We start from the raw sequence: 27,379 nt of genomic DNA, 5'->3' as shown, positions 1-27,379 counted from the left end.
GTTCCTGACACATGGGCGATTTTGAGATAGTGGTGTTTACAGAAGGTTTCATAGCTACGTAAACAAACGTGCTCAGCAGCTGTGGCCCATGTGTGTTAAAATAGTAAAGCATTCATATAGACTGTTATTTATAGAGGGCAAATGGGCCTCGAGGCAAGATGACAGCCACGCAGCGCTGGGCTTGCTGCCAGTCAGCCCCCACTACGGCCTTGCTGATTGACGAACTTCCACATTTACCCCCAGCGATTATACAACTGCGACAGGCAGCACTTGCCCACTCCTCGGCAAATGTGCTGGCAAGGATGAGTCCCCGTTAAGCCTTTTGGTTATTTTACACTTCTTTTGATGGAACCTATCAGACTTACACAAAAACAGACCCAGTAGTATCACTAACCTCTGTGTCCCCGTCATTCTGCTCCAGTGATTATCAATTCAGGGTCAAACTTGCTTCCTCTGTATCCCCACTCATTGGCTGCCCACCAGAATCACATCATCCTCATCTGCAAATATTTCGGTATGTGCCCCTAAAAGATAAGGATTCTTTTAAAAACATAGCTATCATACCATTATGACACCTAAAATAATGACCAATAAATTAAGATCCAACATCTACCAAGTGTTCAAACTTCCAATCGTCTCTTACATGTCACTGTTTTTTATATTTACAATCAGCTTGTTTGAATCAGGATACAAATAAGGTTAACACATGGTGATTGGTTGAGATATCTTGTAAGCCTCTTAATCTATGACTTCTTCTTCCATCTGTTTTTTTTTCCAATAAGTTTTTCTTAAAGAAGATAACTTCTGAAAGATTTAAATACTGCATAGAACACTGGGGAGAGTGGAGGATGAAACACACCAGAGAACACTTTATAGACAAGGAGGCAAGGCCAATTAATCGGAAGTTGCCATCTGGGAGTTAACAAGGAGGACAGCCAGTGTTCACTGGAAATAGGTGAAGGCAACCCATCACCCATCCTTCACCACAGAAAAGCTCAGTTCTGTCACTAGTATAGTTATTCCCAGGCAGAGAATTTTAGTCACATAAATCACACCACAGATCATAAAATTTTTGAGTTGGAGGGAATCTTTGCCCATTTCACAGATGAAGAAATGGAACCTCAACAAGACCCGTGACTTGGCTAAGGTCAAATAGCCACTAGCAGGGCAGGACCTTGAAAGCCACAGCCACCAATGGTGTTGTCGGGCACTCTGTGTTCAGTGCCCTTTGCACCATGAGTGCTGCTGATTCATGATGATTCGGCAGAGAAATGCACCCAGAAAAGACACCTGATATTTCTTTTCTTTTCTTTTCTTTTTTTTGAGACAGGGTTTTGCTCTCGTTGCCCAGGCTGGAGTGCAGTGGCGTGATCTTGGCTCACTGCAACCTCCGCCTCCTGGGTTCAAACGATTCTCCTGCCTCAGCCTCCTGAGTAGCTGGGATTACAGGCATGCACCACCACCGCGCCCGGCTAATTTTGTAATTTTAGTAGAGATGGGGTTTCTCCGTGTTGGTCAGGCTGGTCTGGAACTCCCCACCTCAGGTGATCCACCCACCTTGGCCTCCCAAAGTGCTGGGATTACAGGTGTGAGCCACCGCGCCCAGTCAACAACTGATATTTCATGTGCAGATGACTGGTATTAATGTGCCCTCAATTCTTTTCTCTCACCATTAGTTCTTCCTTTCCTTTAAGGTTCTTCTGTTTCCAAATGTTATCAATTCATTTTTAAATTACGTAGACATTGACATGAATTTTAAACAACCATGTATCAGAATGAGATGTACCACAAAACAATTCTGAAATCAAAATTAAATAAGCATTGTCTACAAAAATACCCCTGGAAGAACATGATGTTCTGTCAGGTCTGATTTCCAGGCACATTTTTCTTTACTGTAATCAAAAATGCCAATCTACCCTAGCAGGGGAGAATATGAGATTGCAGCCTTTGAAAAGATAAGACTGCTGAGGGTAAGCATCACCATGCTCTTAAACTGTTTCTAGTAATGATATTTCATAGCTGCTACATTTTTCAAATCTTATTTTTCTCCTTTTGATAATTTACTGCTGATCCCTCCATTGCCAAGCCATTATCTCCAATTTTACCATTTTTTATCTTAAGAGTTATAACCCCAACCACCCAGCCTGGGAAAAGAGTTAATTGGTGAGCTCTGAAATGCTAAGAACTTGGGTAAAACTCTTCATAGAGGCATCTTCCTGGAGGAATCTCTATAAGGAGTGATTTTTTTCAATTTAAAGACATATGGAATATGTTTTTCCTAGGTCAAAATCTGCCACCCGTAAATCAAGAAATCCAGCTCTCCTTTCTTTTTGAGCATTAAGTGTAGCTCATTTATTCAGGGCTTCCTTCCAATATGTCTATCTCATTATAATATATCCCAGTAGTATCATTGGCTGGCTGGGTAAAAACTGGTGACAACTGCTCCCCAAATATGGTAAACTCTCTATAATCCTCCACAGCTTGGGGACACTGTGTTCTGGTTCATCAGATGTCTTAACAATTGGATTTTGGATGCTATGGTGCACACATAGAGTCTTAACTTTTCTACCACTCCTTCCAAAAGGCAGGCTACTGTAAGAAACCTAGCATTATAACTCCACTAAACATTTCCCATACTTTAGAAGACAAGGAGTCAAGGTCACCATATATTACTGTGATTGAAAAAGGCAAAAATTGTTCATTGTTCACCAATACCAGAAAATCCATTGTTCTTCCTTCTCCAAATGGGCCATAAGAAGCCACTAAATTAGATGCTCAATAGAAGTGAGTGATGATCTCTCAGTATATACAATGTGGAATTCAAAGCCATTGGACAAAATTGGACTAGCATCTAAATTTAGCTCAGACCCAAACTCTAAAGTCAATACTCATCTTCCAAAGGAACAGCATCATCCAAATTAGGAGATGAACGTCAAATCGTGTGAAGTCTCTAATTAGCATATCCTTAAACAAATAGAGTTTTATTATTTCCTAGGGCATTCAGTAATACAAGTGCGGACAGCAGGTTGCCAGCAAAGCAGTTTTACTCAACAATTTCTAATGACCGGAAGAGGATCACTGGGGAAAGCTATGTAAATTATTCACACACACACATGCACAGATACTAAACAGCTAAGCAGCCTGAGGTGCTGCTGCTTCAGTCAATCATGCCCTTGCTCCACAGTGGCACACCCACCCACTTATAACCTTGTTTGTTATATTAATTACTTAGTAAGCTTCTTTTTCCAAATTAACTTCTCTGGCTATAGCTCAGTTCATCTGTGCCCCTTTGTGTCATTTACAGCATCAGGCCATCCTGGGTTCAAGCCACAGTTGTTCCCTTCCCTGCCTTACGTAACCTCTGTCTGTCTCCATTTCTTCAACTCTAAAATGGGAACAATAATGGTACCTACTCACGGGTAACCTTTCAACCCTCTGAATTCCATTAGAGCAGATCATCTCTTCCTCTATAGACCACACAGGCAAAAAACAAGAAAGAGTAAAGCTTTGCGGGGACAGGAGGCCGGGCAGTCGGGAGACCCAGTCCCAGCGAGCATCTTCATTGTCCCCAGGGACCTTGCAGTTAGTGCTGTGATAGAATGACAAATGACTCCCCTCTAAAACCACTCTGAATAGTCAAAACAGCGAGTGTTAACCTGTGAGCACCAGGCCACACAGTGCACAAGCACAATGCAAGGGTAAAAGCCAGCCTGGCCTCTGCCCGGGTACTGCCATGAATGACAAATCGATGGGATCTGAATTAATGAGAATCACTGGACTCAGTCAGAAGGGACTTTGCATTCCTATAGATAGTAACGTCTCATCATTCCAATTTCTACCGAAAGTGGACATGAATGTAGATTACTCCCAGGTCTTCTGAGGCAACTGCTCAGTGAGAACAAGACTAATCGTTTACATTTGAAAACAATATGATTTCTATATTCCCATTTCCTCTCCTAGATTTTTCATAAGAATTCTGAGGTATCAGCTGATGTTCCAATTTAGAAAATGCATTTCTGTGCTGTTAACCAAATAATATTTACTTTCATGGTTAGTTCTTATAGATACATCTGCTTTAAAGTACAGCTATACTTCAACGAAGTGGACAGTAAATGTGAATTTCTATGTAGCCAATTTCATTATTCTCTGTTTACATAGAAAGAATGATAGATACTATATCAGTCTGCTTTGGCTAAGTTATGCTGCTGTAACAGACAACCCCAAAGGCTGAAAACAGTGGTTTATTTCTCATTCGCACTACATGGCAGCCGCAGCTGTTTACAGCCTGTTTTCTCCAAGATGCAGACTGAAGGAGCAGCCCCTACATAGGACACACCGTTCTTAAGTCAGGGAAAAACAAGAGACAGGGCCAAACACTCGCTTCTGCTCACAATTTGTTAGTCATAGCAAGTCATATGGCAGTGCCTAATGTCAATAAAATGGGGAAATATAATTTTTTCACAGGAGCTTCGAGTAAATCATTGAGAGCAACAATTTCAGTTTACCACAGATCGCCTCATGGTTTTGAAAACCAGTAAGCTGAGCTGAAAAATTTTTTGTGAGTTAGGTTTTGAAATGTGTGGTGTCATTAGCGTGTTCACCAAAAATTCCCAGCTTTCATCCTTTCAGACACGTATTAGATTGCATTTCCCTATTCTTGTTGAACAGGGCTATGCGAACAGTAGTCCCATCAATAGAAACATTAAGAGGTGAGTATCCCTCTGGTGGAAACTTTACAAGCCAAAGTGTGTTCCCTTCCCACTTCTTAAGGCTCTCGTGGAAGCACATGTCACAGAGAAGCTTCTGTCCTCCTGACCCTTGACTGGCTTTGAAGAGTAGACCTCAAGCCAAGTCCCATGTGATATACAGGATGACTGAGGAAATAACCTTATGTTGGGTTAAGCTACTGAAATTTGGGTTGCTTGTCACCAAGGTAAAATCTAGCCTATCTTGCCTGATATAAAATGTCACATTAACATTTTGACAAGTTGGCCATTGTATACTGCCAAGCATACTAGACTTGCCAGGAAATGAATCTGCAGCTGGCTACTTTGCAGAACTTCTCCTCTAGCTTTTAAATTCTTTCTTCACTGGTGAAGACTGAGATCAGACAGACTGAATTCAAACTCTGTCTCCACTCTTGACTATCCCTGTGATTGAGTATATCACATTCCTTACCTTCACAAAATCTTTTTTTCCCCATTCTGAAAAATGGGAATGATACTTGTACCTACAAAAAGATTCCACGAGATAATCATGCACATCCTTCACTGTGGAGCCTGGTGCGTAGTAGGTGCTCAATCAATTAAGAGAGTGACACTATGATTCTGTGAATCATACTGTTCTCATAGCTGTCATTTATTTCATGCCTAATGGATGCCAATTACCTTATTAGATGTTTTGCATGGATTATTTTAAATCTTCAAAGCAATTCTGAAATGTGGGTACCATTCCCATTTAACAAATGAGGAAGTTGGCTCTTGCAAGGGGGTTGGGAAGACAGTAACTTGGCCAAGGTCACCCAGCTGGTGAAGTGATGAAGCCAGGATGCAGTCTCAGGGCTGCCCCTTCCCCAGTCTATCTGCTCCAGTGCCCCTCTAGAGGAGCCTACACAAATCCTATGGCATGTTTGAGGAGCTCCAAGATAGTGGTTATTGATTCGAGTTCATTAATGCACCGACAACTATGGCTCAATGATATATAATTTCTTGATTACAGGCCATGGCTTCTCCACTGGGCTCCCCTTTCCTGACTGCAGGAGGCAGGCAGGAATGATCCAGTCTTGCATAACAGTTGGCATTGAGTCCCTTGAAAGGGCAGTCTAGAGGCTCCCACCCTCCAGTTCTACCCAATTCAGTGTTATCAGGTGACTGTGCCAGTTGAAGCTCTGGGTTAACCCCATCCAAAATGCCCTGGTGCCGTGCCAAGTATAACCCAAAGTGCAACCAAGTGTAACCCAAAGTGCGGCCAGCTGACAAACCCTTAAGGGAGGAAAAAAAAAAGTTTAACATTGAAAGGGAAAAATCAATTTTGACTCTGAATTCCCTGCCAGAAAGCACTATAATAAAAAGATATAGGCTTTGATCAGCCTAATTAAGCTCGGCTGGGGTTTCCATTCCACTGTAAAACACTCAACAAGACCCTTTTTGGAGATGATGATGATGATGATGATGATGACGACGACTCATACTGAGGCCATCCTAGGAAGATTTTAATTATTCATCTGCTAAGTAAATACATTTCCTTTTACATTTCCTCAAGCATGTTTTATATAGTGTAAATATTAATAGAAATCTGTGAAAGCGGACGGATAATGGAGGGCTTGATGAGTAATGGGATTAGAGGAGAATGTACAATAGGGGATAGCTGAGATGGCTAGACTGTAGAGACTGAGTCTAAAATAGACTAAGGCTCCATTCGCATTGGCCCAAAATTAAGTATGTTTAATACAACTTGGAAAGCTAAAGTAGTGATAAAAAGCAGGGCTTTGTTTGCTTAACATACTCAGTAATATGTACTTTATGTTTCCTCAAACAAAGTTGGAAAAGGTGTACAACCTCAGGGGAACAAATATGCTGCTGGTTCGTGATCCCCCTAGATGATGTTAAGGATTCGTGAGGTCCGACACGGATGGGTCAAGAGAGATTTTCAAGCACTTTCCTGGTCCCTCCAGCAGAATTTCTTTTTGTTCCCCCAAAGGGACCTCAGCATGTTCAGCATGGCCTGCAGACCCTGTGTTACCCCATACCCCCAAGGCTAGGGGAAGAGAGAGATCATATCTGTTAAGCCAACAACAGATGGGTCATGACTACAAATGAAAGGGAAGGCAGCTTGAGGGGCCACCCACAAACCAGGCCCAGCAGGGCAAGGCGGGGCTGGGTTCCAATACAGCTGCATGGAGTCACATCCTGGGTTTGGTGGATGAATTAGCAAAAGCCTCACCTGTGGCTGGATTTCTCATCCCCGACATTGAAGAGGCTCAGTGTGGGTACTTTGAGTTCCCTGTGCCAGCCAGGCAAGGTGTCCTCCACTACCACATTGAAAGGTAGAATGGCACAGTGGCGTTTCTGTCCTTGAGTGCAGTCTGACACATACTTGACCAGGTACAAGGAGCATCTCATGAACAGTGAGCACCCATGACCCAGGAAGGTGGTGGCCCAGTGGAGAGGGGGCACGGAGGGTGTTAGATGTTTTGTGCACTTGCCTTCAGGGGGTACCTGTCATATGTCTCACCCCAGGGTCTCTTCTTATAATGAAACGAAATCCACAGATGTAATATGAATTTAATATAAATGTTTAGTCTTTTTATCTTCCAACCCACCAAACTCTTGATTTCTACTTTCTTCCCTCTCTTCAGTCTTTCAACACCATCTCCCCCTTAGATAGCAACCTGGTCTCATGCTTAGTTGAGAAAATAGAAGCAATCAGACCGAACACTGGCATCTTCTCACGACCATTTCCACCACATACCTGGGCCTCTCCCTCTTTCCCATTTCTGCCACACACCTGGGCCTCTCCCTCTTTCTTCCCCCCTGTTGCTGTGGAGCCCTGTTCCATCAAGGGCCATCTCCAACTCCCATTCCCTCAGCCTACTCAAAGACTTTTGGACTACAACCATCCTCTTTCTTTCCTCCATCACCAATTTTTCCTAATAGTTCTATTTCCATCAACATCAAAACATTCCCTAATATCCACCACCTCAAAGAACAAACAAAGAAAAACAAAACTATACTTCTTTTGGTGCCATGTCCCTTTCTAGTAGTTTCCCATTTCTCAGCTCTCTTTCTCTCAGGACTTCTAGAAAGAATCACCTGTCCTCTCCTTCGCCACTTTCTTACTTCCCATCTCAAATGGGCTTCCCTTCCCACCACACCACCAAAACTCACCAACAACGTCCATCCCGCCAGATCCAAAGACCACTCCACTGTTCCTGGGTTCCCTGGCCTCTCCACATCATTAGCGCACTTGACCGCAGCCTCCCTCTCCAGCACTTTCTTCCTTGGCACTCATGACTCCCCTACTGCTTTCCCTCCTACCTCAATAAGAGTGCCTTTCCATTCTCTTCTGCAAGCTATTCTCCTCTTCCCAAAATGCCTCAGAGCCTATTCCAACCAGAGTCCTGTCCCCTACTTTCCTTCTCAGCGACTTCAGCCCTTGTCTTTAATTACCATCTTTTTCTATGTGACACTAAATTTCTATCTTCAGTACTAACCTCTCCCCTGAGCTCTGCACTCAAAGATTTAAATGCATACGTGGCCTAACAAGCTTGTACAACCAGTATGGCCAAAGCAGAAGCTAGAGATTTCCCAAGTCCTCTAGAGGCTGTTCGGCTCTTCATCTTCCCCAGGGCCATAAATGTTATCCTGAGCCATACTGTGACTCAAGTCAAAAACTACAGCGTCATCGGAGATTCATCTCAGTCCCTTACCATGGAAATCCTATGGGTATTACTTCCAAAATATGTCTGTCTCTATGGCCACCATCCCAGATTAAGTTGTCATAATGTGGAGGCCGTGACGTTCAACTGGTCTATCTGCTAATGACCACGCTACCAAAGTTCACTTGGCACAGAACAGTCAGAGCTTTTTTTTTTTTTTTTTTTTGTGAGACAAAATCTCACTCTGTCATCCAGGCTAGAGTGCAGTGGTACGATCTCAGCTGACTGCAACCTCCGCCTCCTGGGTTCAAGCGATTCTCCTGCCTCAGCCTCCCAAGTAGCTGGGATTACAGGCGCCCACCACCACGCCCAGCTAATTTTTGTATTTTTAGTAGAGACGGGGTTTCACCACATTGGCCAGGCTGGTCTCGAACTCCTGACCTCAAGTGATCCACCCACCTCAGCCTCCCAAAGTGCTGGGATCACAGGCATGAGCCACCGTGCCCGGCCCAGAGCACTCTTAGTAAGACATAAATCAGAGCAAATCACCTCACTTGCTTAAAACCCTCCAGTGGATTTTCACTGCACTTGGAAAAATCTTTGGCCTATAAGATCCCCCTGGCCTGGCTCCTGCCTGCTTGTCTGCTCTCACCTCCAACCTCTTCCCAACTGACATGTTGCAGCCACATGGGTTTCCAATCCTGAGCACAGAGATCTTGCTCAGGAGGTCTTCTCTGATCACCCAAAAGAAACTAGCTCCCTGACCACTGTGCGTCATACAATGCTGTGTGGCACTCATGGCCAGCTGACATTATGTCATTAATTTAATTATTACCAATTAGAATGTAAGCTCTGTGAGAGCAAGGCCTTGTCTTGCTCATTGCTATCCTCTCAGTACCCAGAGCAGTTCCTGGACCACAGCGGGCCCTGGATACATAGGTACAGAGAGAATGAAAGGAGGAATAAATGAGTGAAATCTCCTATGTGGTCACAAACCAGACTGCTCTCTTAAGCACATAGAAAAGAAGTCTTGAGTCACTTAAAATTGCCACACACACACACACAAAAAGTTAACCTGGTCTTGGTCAAACCTGAAGCCTCTACCTTCTGGCAATGGGAATAACTCCAGGCAACCAGTTCCAACCGCCTCCTCCCTGTCTCCTTCAAGGTTCCCTTCCTCCACCTGCAATTCAAAACCTCGGTGGTTCCCCAGGGCTCTGTCCTGCACCCTCAATGCTTCCCTTCTGCACATTTTCCCAGGCAATCTCTTCCTGCCTCTGGGCACCACCTCCGTCAGTATAGAGGTAGTTCCCACAGGCACAGCCCCATGCCTCTCTCCTAAGCTACAGACCCAGGCAGCTGTGTCCTCCTGGGCATCTCCATTGGGGTGGCTCTCAAGTCCCTAAAATATAATGTGTCCTAAAGTCAGATTTGCTTCCTGTCATGCATTTCATATCTTGATGAAAGGAACTTTGTCTCCCAGGTGCCCAGGTCGGAAATGACCTGGCCGTCATCTTGTGCTCTTCCCTCCCACGTGCTCCACAGCCCAGCTATTCCCATGGGGCTGCTGCCAGACCATAGGCTCTCTTATGCAAATGAGCAAAAGGCATCCCTCCTCAAGACACTCTACTGCCATCTGCTGGGAAGTCTGTGGAATAGGTCTATATAGCTGTACCCCTAAGATGTGGTGAGTTGTGCAGTGTACATCCTGCACAACCATATGAGGCGGCCCTGGCTAAGCTTGTCCATTCCATCTTGTACCTGTCTCTAGTACCCAAACATCCTTTCCTCTCAGGGGCTTGGCCGCTGCCCTGGTTCATGCCACCAAGCCCTCCTGCTGGACCATTACCATGCTCCATACTGATCTCCCTAAATGTAGTCTCTCGTTTTTGCAATTCCCTTCCTCATCATTGTCAGAATAAACTTTGTAACATAAAAATCTCATCCCCTCAACTCCCCGGTTCAGAGATTCTCAATAGCTTCTGAGGAGCTAGAGAATAGAGACCAACCACCTTTGCCTGTCACAGACATGGCACCTCTCCAGGTGTCCTGTCCTTTGCCCCACTACCTCCATAGGCTGCAGACGTTCCTGAATATGCCATGGATTATTTCAACCCTGGCCTGCACATGTGCTGTGACATCGTCTCTGCCTAGGATACCCTTTTCCATTACCTTTCCAATAACTCCTGCCCACAAATCTCCCTGCAAATGCCACCCCTATGGAACCTTTCTCAAAAGTCCTCCCTCTGCTTCTGCTGAGTTTCTGCAAATCTCCATGATGTTTCATGGGTGACTGACCACATGTGGGTGTCCTCAACAGACTACACTTTTGAGGATAAAGATTATGCCTTTTTTTTTTCTGTTCCCAGAAAGTAACACAATCTGGCACATGGTCAGTGCTCAATAAAAAGGATGAAAAAAATAAATGATTTTTCTAAAAATAAGGTGTGGCCTTTCTAAATATGTCTCAGACCCTCAAGAGTTTCCTTTCCACCGGACGCTATGTAATCTGGGCTCTACCAGTTGTGGGCAACATCTGGCTTCCCTATGAAGGCTGTCATGTCATTTAATGTAAAAATTAAAGACACATTTTACTAAGAGTCTATTCTATAGGTTCCCCTCCCACCCAGTATTCACCACACATCTTATAAACTCCATCTGACATAAATACAGAGAGTTTAAAGCGGACATCCAAAAAGCAAACTTGTCCCCAGATTTCAGTCTCAAAATCACACAAGAGACTCAAGAGACTCTGCCAACTAGGAATATCCCTGTGCCCCTTTTTAAAGTGGGTCTAGTCCAACAGAGACTCTCCAAGGCCAGGAGATTGGACTCCAAGAGCAGCCATGCCCCAAGGCTTTCATGCTACCTAATTACATGCTCAGGGACTCCCTTTGATGTTATCCGATTTCCCTGGCAAATCTCCTCCCCTCTGCCAGAGGAACAAGCTGGCTCTCAGAAGAGCAAAACATGGGAAGGGTGATCGCTTTCCAGAAGTTTCTAATTAATATGAATATGAGGTATCCATATCAATAAAAAATGCTCTATCCCTAAGTATCCCTTCCCCCTGCAGTAATAGAGGAGGAGTGGGAAGGATGAGCCTCCAAAACTATGCAAAAGGCCTTTTGAAAGGTAAAAACTCAACAGGCAAGGGGGCCGAAGCTGAGGTGTACTCAATCTGCAGGCAAAGACCTTCCAGAACCTTCCATGTGCCTGGCATTGTACAAAGATAAAAAGGACAAAGTCCTGCCCTTACGGAACTGGTATTTTAGAGCAAGGATTAAGCAAAGAATTTCCTGTAAAAGGCCAGATTGTAAATATTTCAGGGTTTGTGGATAGTCTCCGTCACAACAGCTCAACTCTGCCATAAATTGTGTTTATGGACACATATCATTTTCACATGTCATAAAGTATTATTCTTCACTTTGGATTTTTTTTTAACCATTTTAAAATGGCAAAATTAGCCAGGTGCCGTGGCTTACACCTGAAATCCCAGTACTTTGGGAGGCCAAGGCAGGAGGATGGCTTGAGCCCAGGAGTTCAAGACCAGCCTGGCCAAGATGGTGAAACCCCATCTCTACTAAAAATACAAAAAAATTAGCCAAGCGTGGTGGCACACACATATAATCCCAGCTACTCAGGAGGCTGAGGCATGAGAATCATTTGAACCCTGAAGGTAAAGATTACAGTAAGCCAAGATCGTGCCACTGCACTCCATCCTGGGTGACAGAGCAAGACTCTGTCTCAAAAAAAAAAAAAAAATTACCTGGGCATGGTGGCGCTCGTTTGTGGTCTCAGCTACTAGAGAGGCTGGGGCAGGAGGATCAGCTGAGTCCAGGAGGTCGAAAGGCTGCAGTGAGCTATGATGGTGCCACTGCACTCTAGCCTGGGCAACAGAGCGAGATCCTGTCTCAAACAACAACAACAAAAGTCAAAACTATTTTTAATTCTTTCCTCACATAAAAACAAATTACAATACAATATGGAATGGAATCATATACATAAGAAAACATTTTCGATGAGGAGGGGAACAGCAGGAAGACCATGAGCCCCCCTCCCGCACTCCCAGCCAGAACCGCTCTTCGAGTGGGCACCGCATCATCACTGCCAGGATGCAGCAAGGGCAGCCCCCGCCTGGAGAAGCAGGGCAGCCAGCATCCATTTCTCCTGGACAGGCAGAAGTGGCCACAGTCCATGAGGAGATGAGATCATTTGCATGTGTATTTGCATTTGCATTCTCCCTGGATGAGAAAATAAGGGGGAGATGAGGTTTCCTGACCTTTGGGAGGAAGATAAAATTGAACTTCTGTTCAAAAGCAGAGATCCCGCAGTAAACAGTACTATTATTAACATTCTGTTTTCAAAGAAAATGATAAAAGAGCATGAGTGTCTTTGTTTAACGAGTGTTTGCACCAATGCCCCCATTTCCTTTTGGGCTTGCTCTGTCTTTCTTTGGGTGAAAAGTACTCCCACTACTTAAAGTGTCCCAACTCCTCACACCGACATTTATTCTTATCATAAATGCATTTGAACGTTAAAGGTCCCAAACTCCACCCACTCCAAAAGAGACTCTCTTTGTGCAAACTCCTCTCTCTCCCACCCCTATTTGCCTAGGAGACTGAGTGTAACTTAGAATAATGTACCATCAACAAATATAAATCACACATCCACACCACACAACCTTATCCTCTCTCAGGCGATTGTGGAACACTGTCTATGCAGAAAGGCACCATTAACAAACTCTTTGAAAATGCATCCAATCACACAGATCAACTATTGCCAACATGGCCCCCAAGGAATATTGTTTGAACTTTCTCATCACCAAACCAACCAAATGTGGTTGGTGGGAAGCCCTCACAAAGACCCTAAGATGTGGTTTGGCTTAATTCCTATCCAGCTGATAGGCAGGACCTTGGATCAGAATAATTGCAACAAACGCTTGAGTACCAGTAGCACATATGAAATTTCTCAACTCAAAGTCGTTTTCTTCTAGAATGGATTTTCCCTGGAAAACACACATTGGGAATACTCAGGTTCTTCCCGGCTTGCTTTGTTCTCTGTCTTTCCCACCCCACTTTCTATGGCTCCTTTCCCCCAGCCAATCGAAATTCTTCACACCCTGTAAGGTCCAAGCAAGCTCTGCCTCTTCCATGAGGCCTCACAGGGTTCAGCCAATCCTGTGCTCCCTCCTCAAACCAGTTTAGCTCTCCCCAGCAAGGGGAGCACCCCATTGGCCCCTGTTCTGTTTCCTACTTCCCCCATGTCAATGACATTTCTCCAGGCAGAATTAAGCCACACGGTGGTCAAACAATCGTCTTATGGTCTTCTCGCTCCCTCCTCCCCTTGGCACCATGCTGAGCACATGAAGACCACAGCACCTGTTGGTGACAATTTAGGGAGCCTGTCAAGATACCTCTTGGCCTGACTGTGGATCCAAACCACAGGAGAGTTCATTGAGGACAATTTGATGAGTGAATCTGGCTACAAAAGCTCAACACAGCTAACTCATTTCAGATCATGAAATTGATCCTGTTCGCCATGCTACCTCAGGAGCTAGGGGCAGAAGGAATGATCTTCCACATTTTACCACATCTATCATTCTCTCTAGATATAGACACACATGTAGATGTATGTGTGAATGCATGTATACATGTGAGTTTTTTTAATCATTTGAAAGTAAACTGTAGGCATGATGCAGTTATGTAAAAGTGAAGACAGTCTTACAAAACCACAGTGTGATTTTCAAAATCAGAAAATGCATATTGACATAATGCTACTATATCTAATCTGATATAGTAGCATCTGCAGACTTGATTCAGATTTTGCCAATTTTTCCAACCATTTCTTCTTATATTCTAGGAAATCCCAGGTCGTACTTTGTTGTCATGTCTCTCAATCTCATATTATCTAGTGGAATTCTTCTGTCTTTCCTTATCTTTCATGACATTAATTTTTTGAAGACTATAGAGCAGTTATTTTGTAGCATGTGCCTCAACTTAAGGTTTTTAATGTTCTTTTCATGATTAGATTTAGGTTATGTCTGTGGGGCAAGAATACAAAGTGGTGCTGTGTCCCTCCCAGTGCATTATATCAGGAGGCACATAAGGTCAGCTTTTCCTAATTTGAATGATGTTAACTTCTATCTCTGGCTCAGGTGGTGTCTGCCAGGTTTCTTAACTTTAAAATTACTAGTTTTCACCTTGTAAGAAGTATCTCAGAGCAGTTACTTTGAGGCCATGTAAATATCTTATTCCTCCTCAAACTTTGCTTTTAGCATTCATCGATAATTCTAACCTGAATCGGTTATTTCTACGATGGTTACCTCTGAATGCATGGTTCTTTCTACATTGATGTGTTCTCTTTCAGCTATAAGGAAGAGCTTTTCCCCTCCCTTAGTTATCTATTGATCTATCTATATCAGTATGGATTCATGGATTCCTCTTGTATTCAATGAGTTATAATCTGCTACTGATATTATTTGTGATGCTCACATTATCCCAGATCTGGCCAGTGGGATCCCTTTCTAGTGGCTCTTTGCCCTTTGAACATAATCATTTTGTGTGTTCTTCCTTTTTTCTGGCACAAAAAGATGTTACAGGCTCACCTTGGACTTTTTCAGCTCCAGCTCTGGAGTCAGACATTTCTCCAAAGATTCCTTGTTCCTTTTACTAGGGAATGGTCTTTAGAAGCCAAGACATAGGCACTTGGTGTACCGAGAAGATATTCATACCAGGTCCCTCCATTTACAAAAGAGGTCGGTTCTAGCCCAGCTTAACTGGCTGCTAAGTACACGTATCTGAACTAAACTCATAGCTCAAAAACACTGCCTTCCAGAAACTGTCAGGGAGAAATCCCAAGCTCCTCACTCCAATACTTACCAGCATGTTGATCTGGAGTGAAAACATGTAGGGAGGTCTGCATAAAGTCACAGCTCCTGCATTCTTCCAGAAGTCTCAGACCCAGCTCTTAACACCTGCAGGAGGATCAAAGAGCCACCCTACACTTAGAAGCCCACTACTTTTATTGAGCTGCATAATGTAAAAACCAGCCCTGTGAAACTGACCCTGTGTCTGCTAGAAGGTGGTGTTAACTTCCCCACCAGCTGCCTTGTTGCAAACTCTCTGGGGAAATTTCTTCATGTCACAGCACTAAGAATAGTTGGACTTTTGCTTAGCCATTGATTTCCTTTTATGGGATGGACACTGTTAAGTTCTGTAACAAGCCAGGTCTCCCTTGTGGTTGCAACAATGCCTGGAATCAAATTTATTGGGCATGCAGCAAGATTGTGCATCATTATGGTGTGCATGCTCACTTCATTCCTGGTGCTTTTTAGGTCCCTACCCTAGGGGCTACTCTCTCCATAGCACCACCCCTGAAATTGGCTGTGTTATATGCTGTGTATATTAGTCAGCTCAGGCTGCCATAACAAAATATCATAGGCTAGGCAGCTTAAACAACAGATATTTATTTACTAACAGTCTGGAGGCTGGAAGTCCCAGATAGAGGTAGCTTGGGTTCCTGGTGAGGGCCTTCTTCCTAGCATGAAGGCCTTCCCACTCTATCTTCACGGGGCCTTTCCTCTGTGCAGGCACAGAGAGAAGGAGCCCTCTTTTGTGTCTCTTCTGGAACTACTGGATCAGGTTCCCCACCTGATACAATACAATGAGTAGACAGTGGGACGTTTCACCTTTGGGACCTCCTCTAAGTACAGTCACATTGGGAGTTAGGGCTTCAGCATAGGAACTTGGGGGGTGCACAATTCAGTCCATGACATTACGCAAAGTACTTCTATTCTTCTTGGACCAAATCAGAGCAATAATAAAGGGACACAATGTTTTCATCATCACTAAAAGTCTGTAGCCTCCACATAAGTTCCCCGACACACCGCTGACACCTGGAATAGAGAACCTGACTTTTTGCAGACTAAAATGTTGTAAGGGCCACACATGTAGCTTGATCAATGGTGCTTTATCTAAAGTTATGTAAGGCAAAATCCCTATATGTAAAATGTGGCTTCTTATTCCACAGTCAGGCAGTATTGAAAGATACCAAAAATGCTAACAGTACTCTTTCTCCAAAGCTGGCCATGCCCCTTCTCTATTTGAACGTGTGAGCTTGTCCTCGCTAAAAGAACCATCAAGGTGGAGGAGGTCAAGGGTCTGAGTGAAGGTGATGGGAGGCTGTCCTGGTGAGAAGCACTAAGATAAACACACAGCCGGCCATCCATGGGTCCAATCGTCACCTCCACAGCAGCAGAAAGTGCCTTCAGGAAAACTCAGGGCCCACAGGTATCTGAGGCTGCAGTGTGGGGAACACCACCTCTGTCCCAGGAGGGGCCTTTCTCCCTCCAGAACCTTCTCAGCACTTTCTTACTTCCCACGCCCCTCTGGCAGGAAGGCACCATTTGCCCGGTGGCTGGCACAACACAAAACTGTTAGACAAAAAGGCTAGGGGATTAAATGTCAATGTTTAGATAATCAATGTAAAGAAGTTTTATTATATTTGTTCCAATGTTTGTTTTTTTTAAAAAAAAAATGGTAAATAATTGAATGAAGATAGTGGGCACATGGAAGAAATGAAAAGCGTGAAAAGTATTTCTGCAGGAATGAGTTCAGGTTGAGGGAAGAAAGTGGGTACCGCTGGAGGGAGGGCATGAGGAAGCCAGACTACCAAAAGGTAACAGTTCTATGAAAAACTTCTTTATAATGATTATCAAAGTGTTACCATTTAATCTATTAGACCATTTGTCTGTGGGCCTGGGGAGCTCTGTTCTAGCTCATCCAATAGTGTTTCTGCTTTTATCCCAAAATCACGTATCAATTTTTTAAATTTTCACTATGTTGTATCCCCCCACCCCTCCCACCTCTCTTCCTGCCCACTCTCGTCTGAGAGGATCTAGGTTCTCAGGGGCGAGCACCTGCCTGCTAGAGAGGCCCAAGGGGCGTACGGTGGCCCCTGCTTCTCTCCCGGCTTGTCCCAGATCCACACAGCCCACCTTGAGGGTTTGATTTCCTGGTTCTCCTCCAGGATTCTGTCTTATGGACTCATCCGCCGTGGTTCATTCCTGCATACTCCTTCATTCTGCAACTCAGCCAATCCCTGGGCCCCTCCTTGTGACAGAGAAATTTAAGACTCCCATCCTCCAAATGGTGATGTGAATCAAGAGATGGCAGAACTTACAGTCTTGCTTATGTGGGCATTGAACGAGACATTGCTTGGATGTTGCCTAAAACATCAGTTCTACCTTCAAGTGGCAAGAAAACATAGCACTTGGTACCATCTATCTCGAAAAATTAAGACATTTAAACAGGTCATCTGATGGATTTCCAAGTTGGATTCATGTTTTTAATTTCCTGCTGTCAAAATAGAGGGATGTTTCCCTCTACCCATTAACCATTTTTAATAAAAGCTTGAAAACATGATGGAACATACACAGGGTGCGGCAGTCACTAGTGACACTTTGTAGAAGCTCACTTACAGAATGAGTTTCTTTGTGGCTCTTGTCAACCCAAATAAAGATTTGCGTCAAAAACTGTCCCTTCTTGGTATCTATGTTAAGAGTAAAGCTTAGCATATCTAATGCTACCCTTTCGCTCTAAGTTTAATGAAATAACCATTTAGGTGAGGGGAGTGGCCTTAGAAATTTGGGCTAAATCAATGGTTCCTTGGCAGATCGCTGAGTAATTTGTGGTTATCAATGGAAACATTTTGTTTGTTAGAGAATGTCACATTGTCAATATTCTATGTCTCTTTGAAAGTGAATTTGAAGGGTTCTGCCATTTTCCTGATTCACTCCAAAGCCAGAACCTAAACTCTATTTCAGAGAGCAGGAAGGCCCCAACCATTGGGCCCCAACATCCTGGCAGAAGAGAATGTTGTCTCTCAGGCCAGCACATGTCTAATCAAGACACGGTTCCTATTGGCCCCCCACATTCCCGTCAGTTTCCAAATTGTTGCACTAAAATGGGGCTTGGGATAGAGGCAACATCCTTACAGCAGATCAGTGTGGGAGCTGGGACTGGCACTGCTGAGGAGAATATATTGATTCTTCTGTCTACTTTAAATCCACACACTTTAAGTACCATTCACACCCCTAATGCTGCTCCTTGGAAATTATTCTGAAGGAAAAAAAAAATGCATTGCCTTTTTTTCTCAAGGGTAAAGGGAGAGGCAGTTGAAACACAAATATTAAATGGGAATTTGTCTGCCACTCTACGTTTTTTGTTTTTTGGGATTTTTTGGTTTTTGTTTTTACTTTAAGTTCTGGGATACTTGTGCAGAACATGCAGCTTTGTTACATAGGTATACATGTGCCATGGTGGTTTGTTGCGCCCATCAACCTGTCATCTAGGTTTTAAGCCCCGCATGCATTAAGTATTTGTCCTAATGCAATCCATGGAAATGGACACACATATCAAATTCCACTGCCTCAAACCCCAAATGACTAAGTGCTGGAATGCCACGACATCCCAAACTGCTTGAAATAAATGGGCCATCAGCTGAGGTTAGAGAAACCTTTTTTTTAATTATACAGCAAAACGTCTCAAAAAATATGTTTGATCCAGAGTGGTGGATCATAGCAAAAGCACATTGAATGAATATGTTCATGTCCCTGTCACTATTTAACTTAGCGGGGCCTGCCTGCAGGGTCTAAGGAGTTCTAACGGCTGTGCTTTCCTGTGAGCACAGGTGCGCGGTTACTCACACAGATTCCACCCCTGCCGAGTGGCCTCCAACCATGTCTCACTATATCCCACTGTCATATCCAAAATCAGATTTTGGATTTGCCAAAAACTGAGCAAAGCTAGAACAGAGACCGTAATCACTGAGCAGTGGCTGAAGATGTTCCTGGAAACCATTCTAGCCAGAAGCCAAACTGTGAATCAGGAAGATACGGGACACCTCAGAGGAACTCCTTAGAAGTCGGTCTCAGCTGATGCTCCCATTCAATAGGTGTCAATAGTTCCCACCTTCCAACAAGAGCTGCCAGAGCTCTGAGCAGGCTGTGCCAAGCAGGCTGGGAGGGTGTCAAAATGCCCAGCACTTCACCCTCATTGAAGATAAATCATCAGAAAGTTAAGATTTGGGAGCATCACAGCCCCCAATAAGGGAGGGGAGGGAGATGTCTCTCACTTCCAGTCTAGTAAATGAAGACCCTGTGGGAATCCTTAGAGGTCCTGACAGAGGCCCCCCTACACCTGAGCCTAGGGGTGCCAGGAAATTGTTGTCCTAGCCATACCTGGCCATCTGCCCTTGCAGTGGCTTCAGGGGTTGGAAACCCTGCACTCTCAGCCCCACACAATTCAATTATCTGTCTCTGTCCTTATTCCTCAAAGGTGTGACCTAAGCTTGCTTAGCTTGGAATTGAAAAAGTAACCTGGGCCAGGTACGGTGGCTCATGCCTGTAATCCCAGCACTTTAGGAGGCTGAGGCAGGTGGATCACGAGGTTGGGAGTTCAAGACCAGCCTGGCCAAGATGGTGAAACCTTGGTCTCTTCTAAAAATACCAAACTTAGCCGGGTATGGTGGCAGATGCCTGCAATCCCAGCTACTCAGGAGACTGAGGAAGAGAATTGCTTGATCCCGGTAGGAAGCAGAGGTTGCAGTGAGCCAAGATCACGCCACTGCACTCCAGCCTGGGCAACAGAGCAAGACTCTATCTCAAAAAAAAAAAAAAAAGAAAAGAAAAAAGAAGTAACCTGAAGTATCACCCATTAATATGTTACTTTGATGTACGAATATTTATGTCCAATTTCTGTTTGGAAAAGGAGGGGCTTTGTGGAATTTTTAAAATTCACATTTGTGCCCTGGCTGTGGCCATAGATATTCACTGAGCCAGGTGTCATGGTTGGTAGCTGTGGCACCATGCCGAAATTTCAAGAAAATACTCTTAGGCCTTTGGAAAATTGAAAAATCCTGAGGTTTCCTAAGACTGTCACAGCTGAGACCTTTTATCCCAGCAATGCCCATTACAAATGCAAGCATGCAGCTCCACAGTAGACATTGGCTGGAGGTGAAAATCTACCCCACAGAGCACCCCATCATTTCAATGCAAACAGACAGTTTATTGCAAGTCTTATGGTAGGCAGTCCTTGAATGATTTTAATTAACTTTTTATGTATCATTGACAAGTCCTTGAAGCTTTATAAACTTCAATACAGATTCAAGGAGGAATCGTTATTGTCAGGTTCATGCTATAGAGTAGAAAGCCTTGAATGTAAAAATAATTACATGGAAAATGATAAACCTTTGAACATTGAGTAGTTCATAATGATGACATGAAGAAGCATAGTCACTGGTAATTTATCAAATATATAGATATTTTGAAATAATTATATCATATGTCAATCAAACAATTTCAATCAAACAATTTTAATTGCATAATCTTATACTGAGAAAGAAAGGATTTTTATAAGGATAATCTGTAGTTTATTGCAGAGGGATAAGAGTATTTCTATTTTTTGAAATAATTTATCTAAAATTAAATTCCCTACGAATGCAGGAGTGGGGGTCATTAATGGAGAATCTGTGAGTTGGTGTCTTGGCCATGTGAGACCCAACTTTTGACTCTGCCTGAGACCCAAGCCATCTAGTTGACAGGGAGACACTACTGCTTCCCTGATAGGAAGCAATGGTGTGGGTGAAAGTCCCAGCCCACCACGTCCCTTGCACTCATCTCCCAATACTTCATGTGTTAAGAGACTAACCCTTTTCTTTCACGGTGGGCCATGAGTTTCAACATAAACATAGCCCGGCATGACATGTCATTTGTCTGATACTCAGTGGTAATTGGTTTCTTCTCACCAATAGATTGTTAATTCTTGGCAGGAATGAATGGAGAGAGGAAGGAAGAGAGAGAAGATAGAAATTTACTGAGTGCCTAGTATGTATTAAGAATGAGGACTGTGGTTAGATAGATGGACAGATAAGTCATGCCGTGAATGTTCGACCTGAACTGTAACTCTCCTCTATTGGGAGGCTCTGATAACAAAGAGACAGGATGAGAACAGTGAGCCCCTTAAAAGGTCAGAGGAAAACAAGATGGAAACCACTGAAAGGGGGAAGTAAGAAGAAAAAGAAAATATACTTTGCTTATGAATTTGCTTCCAAGTGACACTTCTTTATCCATTCCATCAGACTTTTTAGTATGTATGGATTTTGAAGTGATTGCAGAGCAATTAGTCAAAATTTCATCTCACTAAGTATGGTGGAGGGTGGAGAGCACCATTTTCTTCATTACTAGGGCTCTGTCCACCAGAAAGTGACTGCTTTTGAAAAGCTGTAGACTCTGCAAGCTTTCCTGTAATGGGACTTCTCATTTCCTCCTGCACTTCAATAGATAGAGGAACAGAGAGAATAGAGATATATTATACATATACATACATCATTCAGATATCCATTGATTTATATCACCTTTGATTTATCACCAACGATATATGGTGATTTATATCACCAATGATATATGCACCTTTGGTGTATATCTACAATACATATATCTAAATGTATCTCTACTACAATAGAATTATATTCATGAAACATATTCAAACCTGTTCCATTTGACTGCCATCATCCCCTCTTTGGATGTGATACTTCAGCCAACACTTTCATCATGTCCTTGTGTCTAGTAAGTTTTTCAAAATAGTACAACTAAGAGAAAAATATTAATACTTACTAGGCACCTAAGTCTGGGTTCCAACCAACCATCATGGAAGACATGTCTCATAAGTGAATAATCTCTGGTGCCTTATCTGGCATCTGCACCCCTCTCCCCCACCCCTTGGGTCATTGAGTCCGATATCACAGAATAAGCCTGGCCAACAGTGGGTTGTGTCACACATCCCATTAAGCTGAAAAACGAAGGTTAGGCTCACTAGGAAAAGCCCTGGACTTGTGTCCAGAGCCCTTTCACTCATGCCCTGTCCCTCCTGCTCATTAGCTGTGTCCTTGACTGACTGATCTGATTTCCCTGGACCTCATATTCTTTATCTGATGAGATTCCTGCCTGGCTAGGTTTCAATGATTATTAAATTAGATGATAAAAAAAAACATAGCATAGAATCTAGAATGTAGTAGATTTTTTAAAAAAAAAATGCTTTTAAAATACGGGTGTATCTCTAGTACTCAAGAGGTTCCATTTGCCTGTAAAATGACAGATGGTTCAAACATCTAAAAATGTCAAGTTAGAAAAAGTGCTTACTAATAAGGAATTAGCAGGTAATGCTTCTTTTTTAGGTTGAATTTGAATGAGATGAGCTGGGAATCCCATCACATATAATTCAAATATGTTAGAACAGTTTTGCTCTAAAATTATCCTTATAAGAGAAAAATAAAGAAGAAGAAACACCTGTCTGCCAAGCTCTTTAAAAATCAGCTATAGAAATAGAGAGTTCTCTATTTCTCATTCATGTGTTTTATGCCTAAAACAGGTCAGATAAGAAGGACACCTTCCATCTCAGATGGTAGGACTCAGTGAACAAAAACACTTTAAATCATCCACAGTTATTGAATATGCTATTGGTAGAACAAAGAAACCATTCCATCATCTGGCACTTGTTTATCTAGCAACTTTATCCATCTAGACTCTAGAATACAACTAAGAACTCCAAACTGAGGGGAGAAATGCAATCACAGAAGATGCCACAATGCCCGTGCAGTCCATCCCAGCATCTAAGACCGATGCTGGAAGCTAAGCAGAGGTGTGTCCTTTTTATTTATTGTTTTTCTAATAAGAAATCCTAACAAGCTCAGAGCTGACTGGTCTCCCAGACCAGAGGAGACCAAAGCAGCAAATAAAGGGAGGAGATGGATTTGCTATAAAACAGGCACATTGAGAGCAACAAGAGGCAAGTCTGACAGTGAATGGAAAAAAAGCCCAGAGCTATAAATCAAAGAAAAAAAGCCCAAACACGTCACTGTCTGGAATCCTTTATGAGAAAAGCCAATGTTTCTACCCACCTTACAATCTCCTGAGGCCAGGTCTGCATTGAAGGACAGAACAGTAGCTGATGTTTCAGCAAGATGGCACGGAGACATGAAGAAAAAGCTTAAATTATACCCAGTGCCGTCTGCTTGTGAAGAAAGGGAAGCGGCTGCCACAGTTTAGAAAGATTTCTGGCCTGGAATTGGGAAGTGTTTGCTTGCTTGCATGACAACTGAAAAGTGGTGAGTCTGGGTCAGCTGGAGCACTCATCCTGCGGCCTGTAACCCCGCGTTGCTGAGATACCGGCTGGGACGCTACCCTTAGCCTTTCTCCCTTCCAGCAGCCAATTTTCCAGGCCCAAGAGGCCCAGGTTAAGAGGCGCCTGTCATGCAGTTTTAACCCAAGCCAGCCACTGAAATGCCTCCAAGGGCCTGGGGCCTTTGGATCAAGTGCTGGGAGTGATCAGAACCCTCAGGGCCCTCCCTGATACCATCATGAATCACTTAACCACTCTGGGCCTCACTTTCCTCAGAAATTAGCTTCGTTCAGCAGAATGTGTATTGCAAGTCTGAATTTGCCTGCCTTTAAGAAGAGTGCTCTCTGGGTTTTGTCCCAGCCCACCCCACCTCTGCCCACCCTCCATTTTTTCAACCCCTGCCTTCCTTCCTGTCAAGCCTACATCCTGACACCTGCTGCATGTGAATTTGAGGCCATGACCAAATAAATGCACAGGTCCCTGTCTCCACCCGTGTCCCGATTAAGACTTCACACAGAGGCTGGGCGCGGTGGCTCACGCCTGTAATCCCAGCACTTTGGGAGGCCAGGGTGGGCAGATCACCTGAGGTCAGGAGTTCAAGACCAGCCTGGCCAACATGCTGAAACCCCGTCTCTACAAAAATACAAAAATTAGCCAGGCATGATGGTGGGTGCCTGTAATCCCAGCTACTCAGGAGGCTGAGACAGGAGAATCACTTGAACCCAGGAGGCGGAGATTGCAGTGAGCCGAGATCGCACCACTGCACTCCAGCCTGGGCAACAGAGCAAGACTCCATCTCCAAAAAAAAAAAAAAAAAAAAAAAAGACTTCACCCGGGAGAGTGAATGCGTGGAGGTTGCAAACTATAAACACCAACTTCAACACATATTTTTTCAATCATAGGCATTCTCTCCTTCCCAGACACTAGCTTCCTCCACCTTCACAGCCAGTTGGACTGGAGTGATGAGTCTCCCTCCATCTGCTTCAGTCTAAAGAAATTAGATTTCACCTGTCCCCCTCCTCAACCGGGTATCAAGAGAGCACGTATGAGTACCCCACAGCAAATCCTTCTTTGTCCACAGAGAAGGATTAATCTTCTGTTCCTCATTTTTTAAATTTTAATTTGGGTGTTTTTACATTAAAAGTAATGCTTGCACAGGATAAGACATTCAAATGGTATAAAGGATAGATAATGAAAAATACATCCCTTTCCATCCTCTGTTCTGCAGTCCCTCTGCTTGGATAGAAGCCGTGCTCACTGTCACTTGGGTGCCTTTCTGGAAACGTTCTATGCCTCTTCAGGTATATTGTAACATGTATTCATACATATTCCTATTGTGTTACACAAATGGAAGTGGATGATTTTGTATATGGTCAACTGCTTTTTATTAATTTAACATATACCACAAATCTTTATTAACACATTAACTTGTTCTTTTTAAATTGCAAAATAATACTTTATTTGATGGACATACGATCATTTCTATAACTAGTGCTCTAGAGAATATTATAGACAGCTTTCTACTTTTTTTGTTACAAATAACAGTGCAGTAAACCTCTGATATCCATAGGATAGATTTTTTTTTTTTTTTTTTTTTTTTTTTGGAGACAGAGTCTCACTCTGTCGCCCAGGCTGGAGTGCAGTGGCTCAATCTCGGCTCACTGCAAAGCTCCGTATCCTGGGTTCACGCCATTCTCCTGCCTCAGCCTCCCCAGCAGCTGGGACTACAGGCATACGCGCCACGCCCGGCTAATTTTTTGTATTTTTAGTAGAGGCGGGGTTTCACCATGTTAGCCAGGATGTTCTCAATCTCCTGAACTTGTGATCCGCCCGCCTTGGCCTCCCAAAGTGCTGGGATTACAGGCGTGACCCACTGCACCCGGCCAGGATAGATTCTTAGAAGTGAGATTGATGGGATAAAAGAGGATATGCATATTTTGCTTTTAAAGATATTGCCAAATTGCCCTCCTACAAAGGATCATTTGATTTCCAATCCTACCTCCAGAGACAGGCACGCCTTTGTCTACCTATTTTCATCCACACTGGGTAGAAACAACTCATTGATCTTTGCCAGTAGGATAAGTGAAAACGGGTGTCATTCGTGTTTTCTAGCATGTAGTTGGGCATCTTTCAATATATTTACTGGTGTTTCCTTTTCTTCTCTTTGCCCATTTCCTAATTGATTTTTTCTTTTTTCTAGTTGATTTGTAATGGCTGGCTTTATATAAAGGAAATGACTCCCTTGTCAGTTTTATGTTTTGCAGATATCTTTCATAGTCTGTCATTTGTCTTATTGATTTTTTTGTTAATGGTATTTTACCTGCAAAATATATTTATTTTATGTAGTGAAAGTTATTGACATGTTTCTTTCTGCCATCTCAGTTTTATGTTATACTTGGAAAGGCCTTCTCTATTCCTATAAAATTCACATAAAGTCATTCTCCCTTGTTTTCTCATAGTGCTTTCAACAGTTTAATTTTTAGACTGAGATCTTTGACCCCGCTGACTCGGCTGGGCAGCCAGCTTGCATTGTTTGCTGGAAGACCAGCCGATGTCCTAACACTTTTCACCGAATAATCTGGCTTTCCTCCATGGACTTAAGTGGTCTTCAGCTTTGTACTTCCTGATTTTATCCCACCCACTTTAGCAAAAGAAAACAATGGTTTCCAAATAATATTCCTAACCTTAGGCTAGGGTAACTGTTTCAAATACCAGTCTGAGTTCCCCTAACCTTCCTATGCTAACATAACACTTCACAATTACTGTTTGTGTTCCCCAAAATTCATATGGTAAAGTCCTAACCCTTAGTACCTAAGAATATGATCTTATTGGGAAATAGGCCCATTGCAGATGTAATTAGTTAAGTTAGATGAGGTCCTACTGGAGAAGAGCAGACCATAGTCCGATGTGGCTGGTGTCCTCATAAAAAAAAAAAATGGAGTGGAAATTTGGACACAGACATGTGCACGGGGAGAAGGCCGTGTGAAGATGACATCAGAAGTCAGGGTGATGCAACAAGAGCCAAAGATCGCCAGCAACTACCATAACCCGGGGGAGAGGCCTGGACCAGACCTCCCTTCACAGCCTCAGGAGGAACCAACCCTGCCAACACCTGGATCTCAGCTTCCAGCCTCCAGAACTGTGAGACCATACATTTCTGTCATTCAAGCCACCTGTTTGTGATACTTCGTTATGACAGCCCAAGGAGACTCAGACAACAATTATAGGGCAGTTTGATCATTTCTTGTTTATTACTAGAGACCAGTTCAGTTGTTGTTGGAGTAGGTGTGACACAGAACATCTTTCCTCTGTTTAGGGCAGGCTCACCAAACGTGGTCACTGTGCCTCTCAGACCATCAGAAAGATTCATGCCTGGCCTCCTGCCCACTCAGCCAGTGCAGTAGGCATGACGAGAAGCCAGCTCACCCCCGCTGCAGAAGGGATCCTTTCTCCCTCTGCCACTTCACATAATTGCTCCTTCCCCTGGGACGCACCAAGAAAGAAGCCTGGCCCCAGGTCCAGACCCCAGCTCTGTGGGGCCACTTCAGGCTCCCCACACCGGAACTCTGTGCATCTCACTCCCTTGGGGTTGGCTTCTGTCCTGTCTTCCTTTCTACCTCCCTGCCAGGCTTTGGTCTTTCCTACCCTTTTCATGCAAACGAACAAACAAATATGTTAAGCAGGGAAAACAGACCATTCTGGCCCTTAAAGAGACAGTGCACCTAGAGGTCCTCAGCAGAGAAGTGTTATCTGCAATGCGCAAATAAAAACTAAAGAAGCCAGTGGGCTTAAAGAAGGAAGAGAGGGTAGAGAAGACAGAGGAGGA

The 27,379-nt window shown here is 43.6% G+C and overlaps 1 protein-coding gene and 1 long non-coding RNA gene across 2 annotated transcripts in view; one reads left to right on the top strand and one right to left on the bottom strand.

The window, feature by feature from the left end:
* The window catches only part of KCNJ6-AS1 (KCNJ6 antisense RNA 1), a 222,067-nt gene that overhangs the window by 29,865 nt on the left and 164,823 nt on the right, over positions 1-27,379 (bottom strand). Inside the window, exons 2-3 of the long non-coding RNA NR_183540.1 lie at positions 12,144-12,283; positions 395-524 (exon numbers count right to left, since the gene is read on the bottom strand). This is a non-coding gene — a long non-coding RNA (KCNJ6 antisense RNA 1). The remainder of the gene's footprint in view (positions 1-394; positions 525-12,143; positions 12,284-27,379) is intronic.
* Positions 1-27,379, top strand: part of KCNJ6 (potassium inwardly rectifying channel subfamily J member 6) — a 309,085-nt gene that overhangs the window by 205,620 nt on the left and 76,086 nt on the right. The window lies entirely within an intron of this gene.

Source organism: Homo sapiens, chromosome 21 (genome assembly GCF_000001405.40).
Source record: "Homo sapiens chromosome 21, GRCh38.p14 Primary Assembly".
Taxonomy (NCBI): Eukaryota; Metazoa; Chordata; class Mammalia; order Primates; family Hominidae; genus Homo; species Homo sapiens.
The sequence above is the reverse complement of the archived record's forward strand: the minus strand, read 5'-3'. Positions and strand labels throughout refer to the sequence as shown.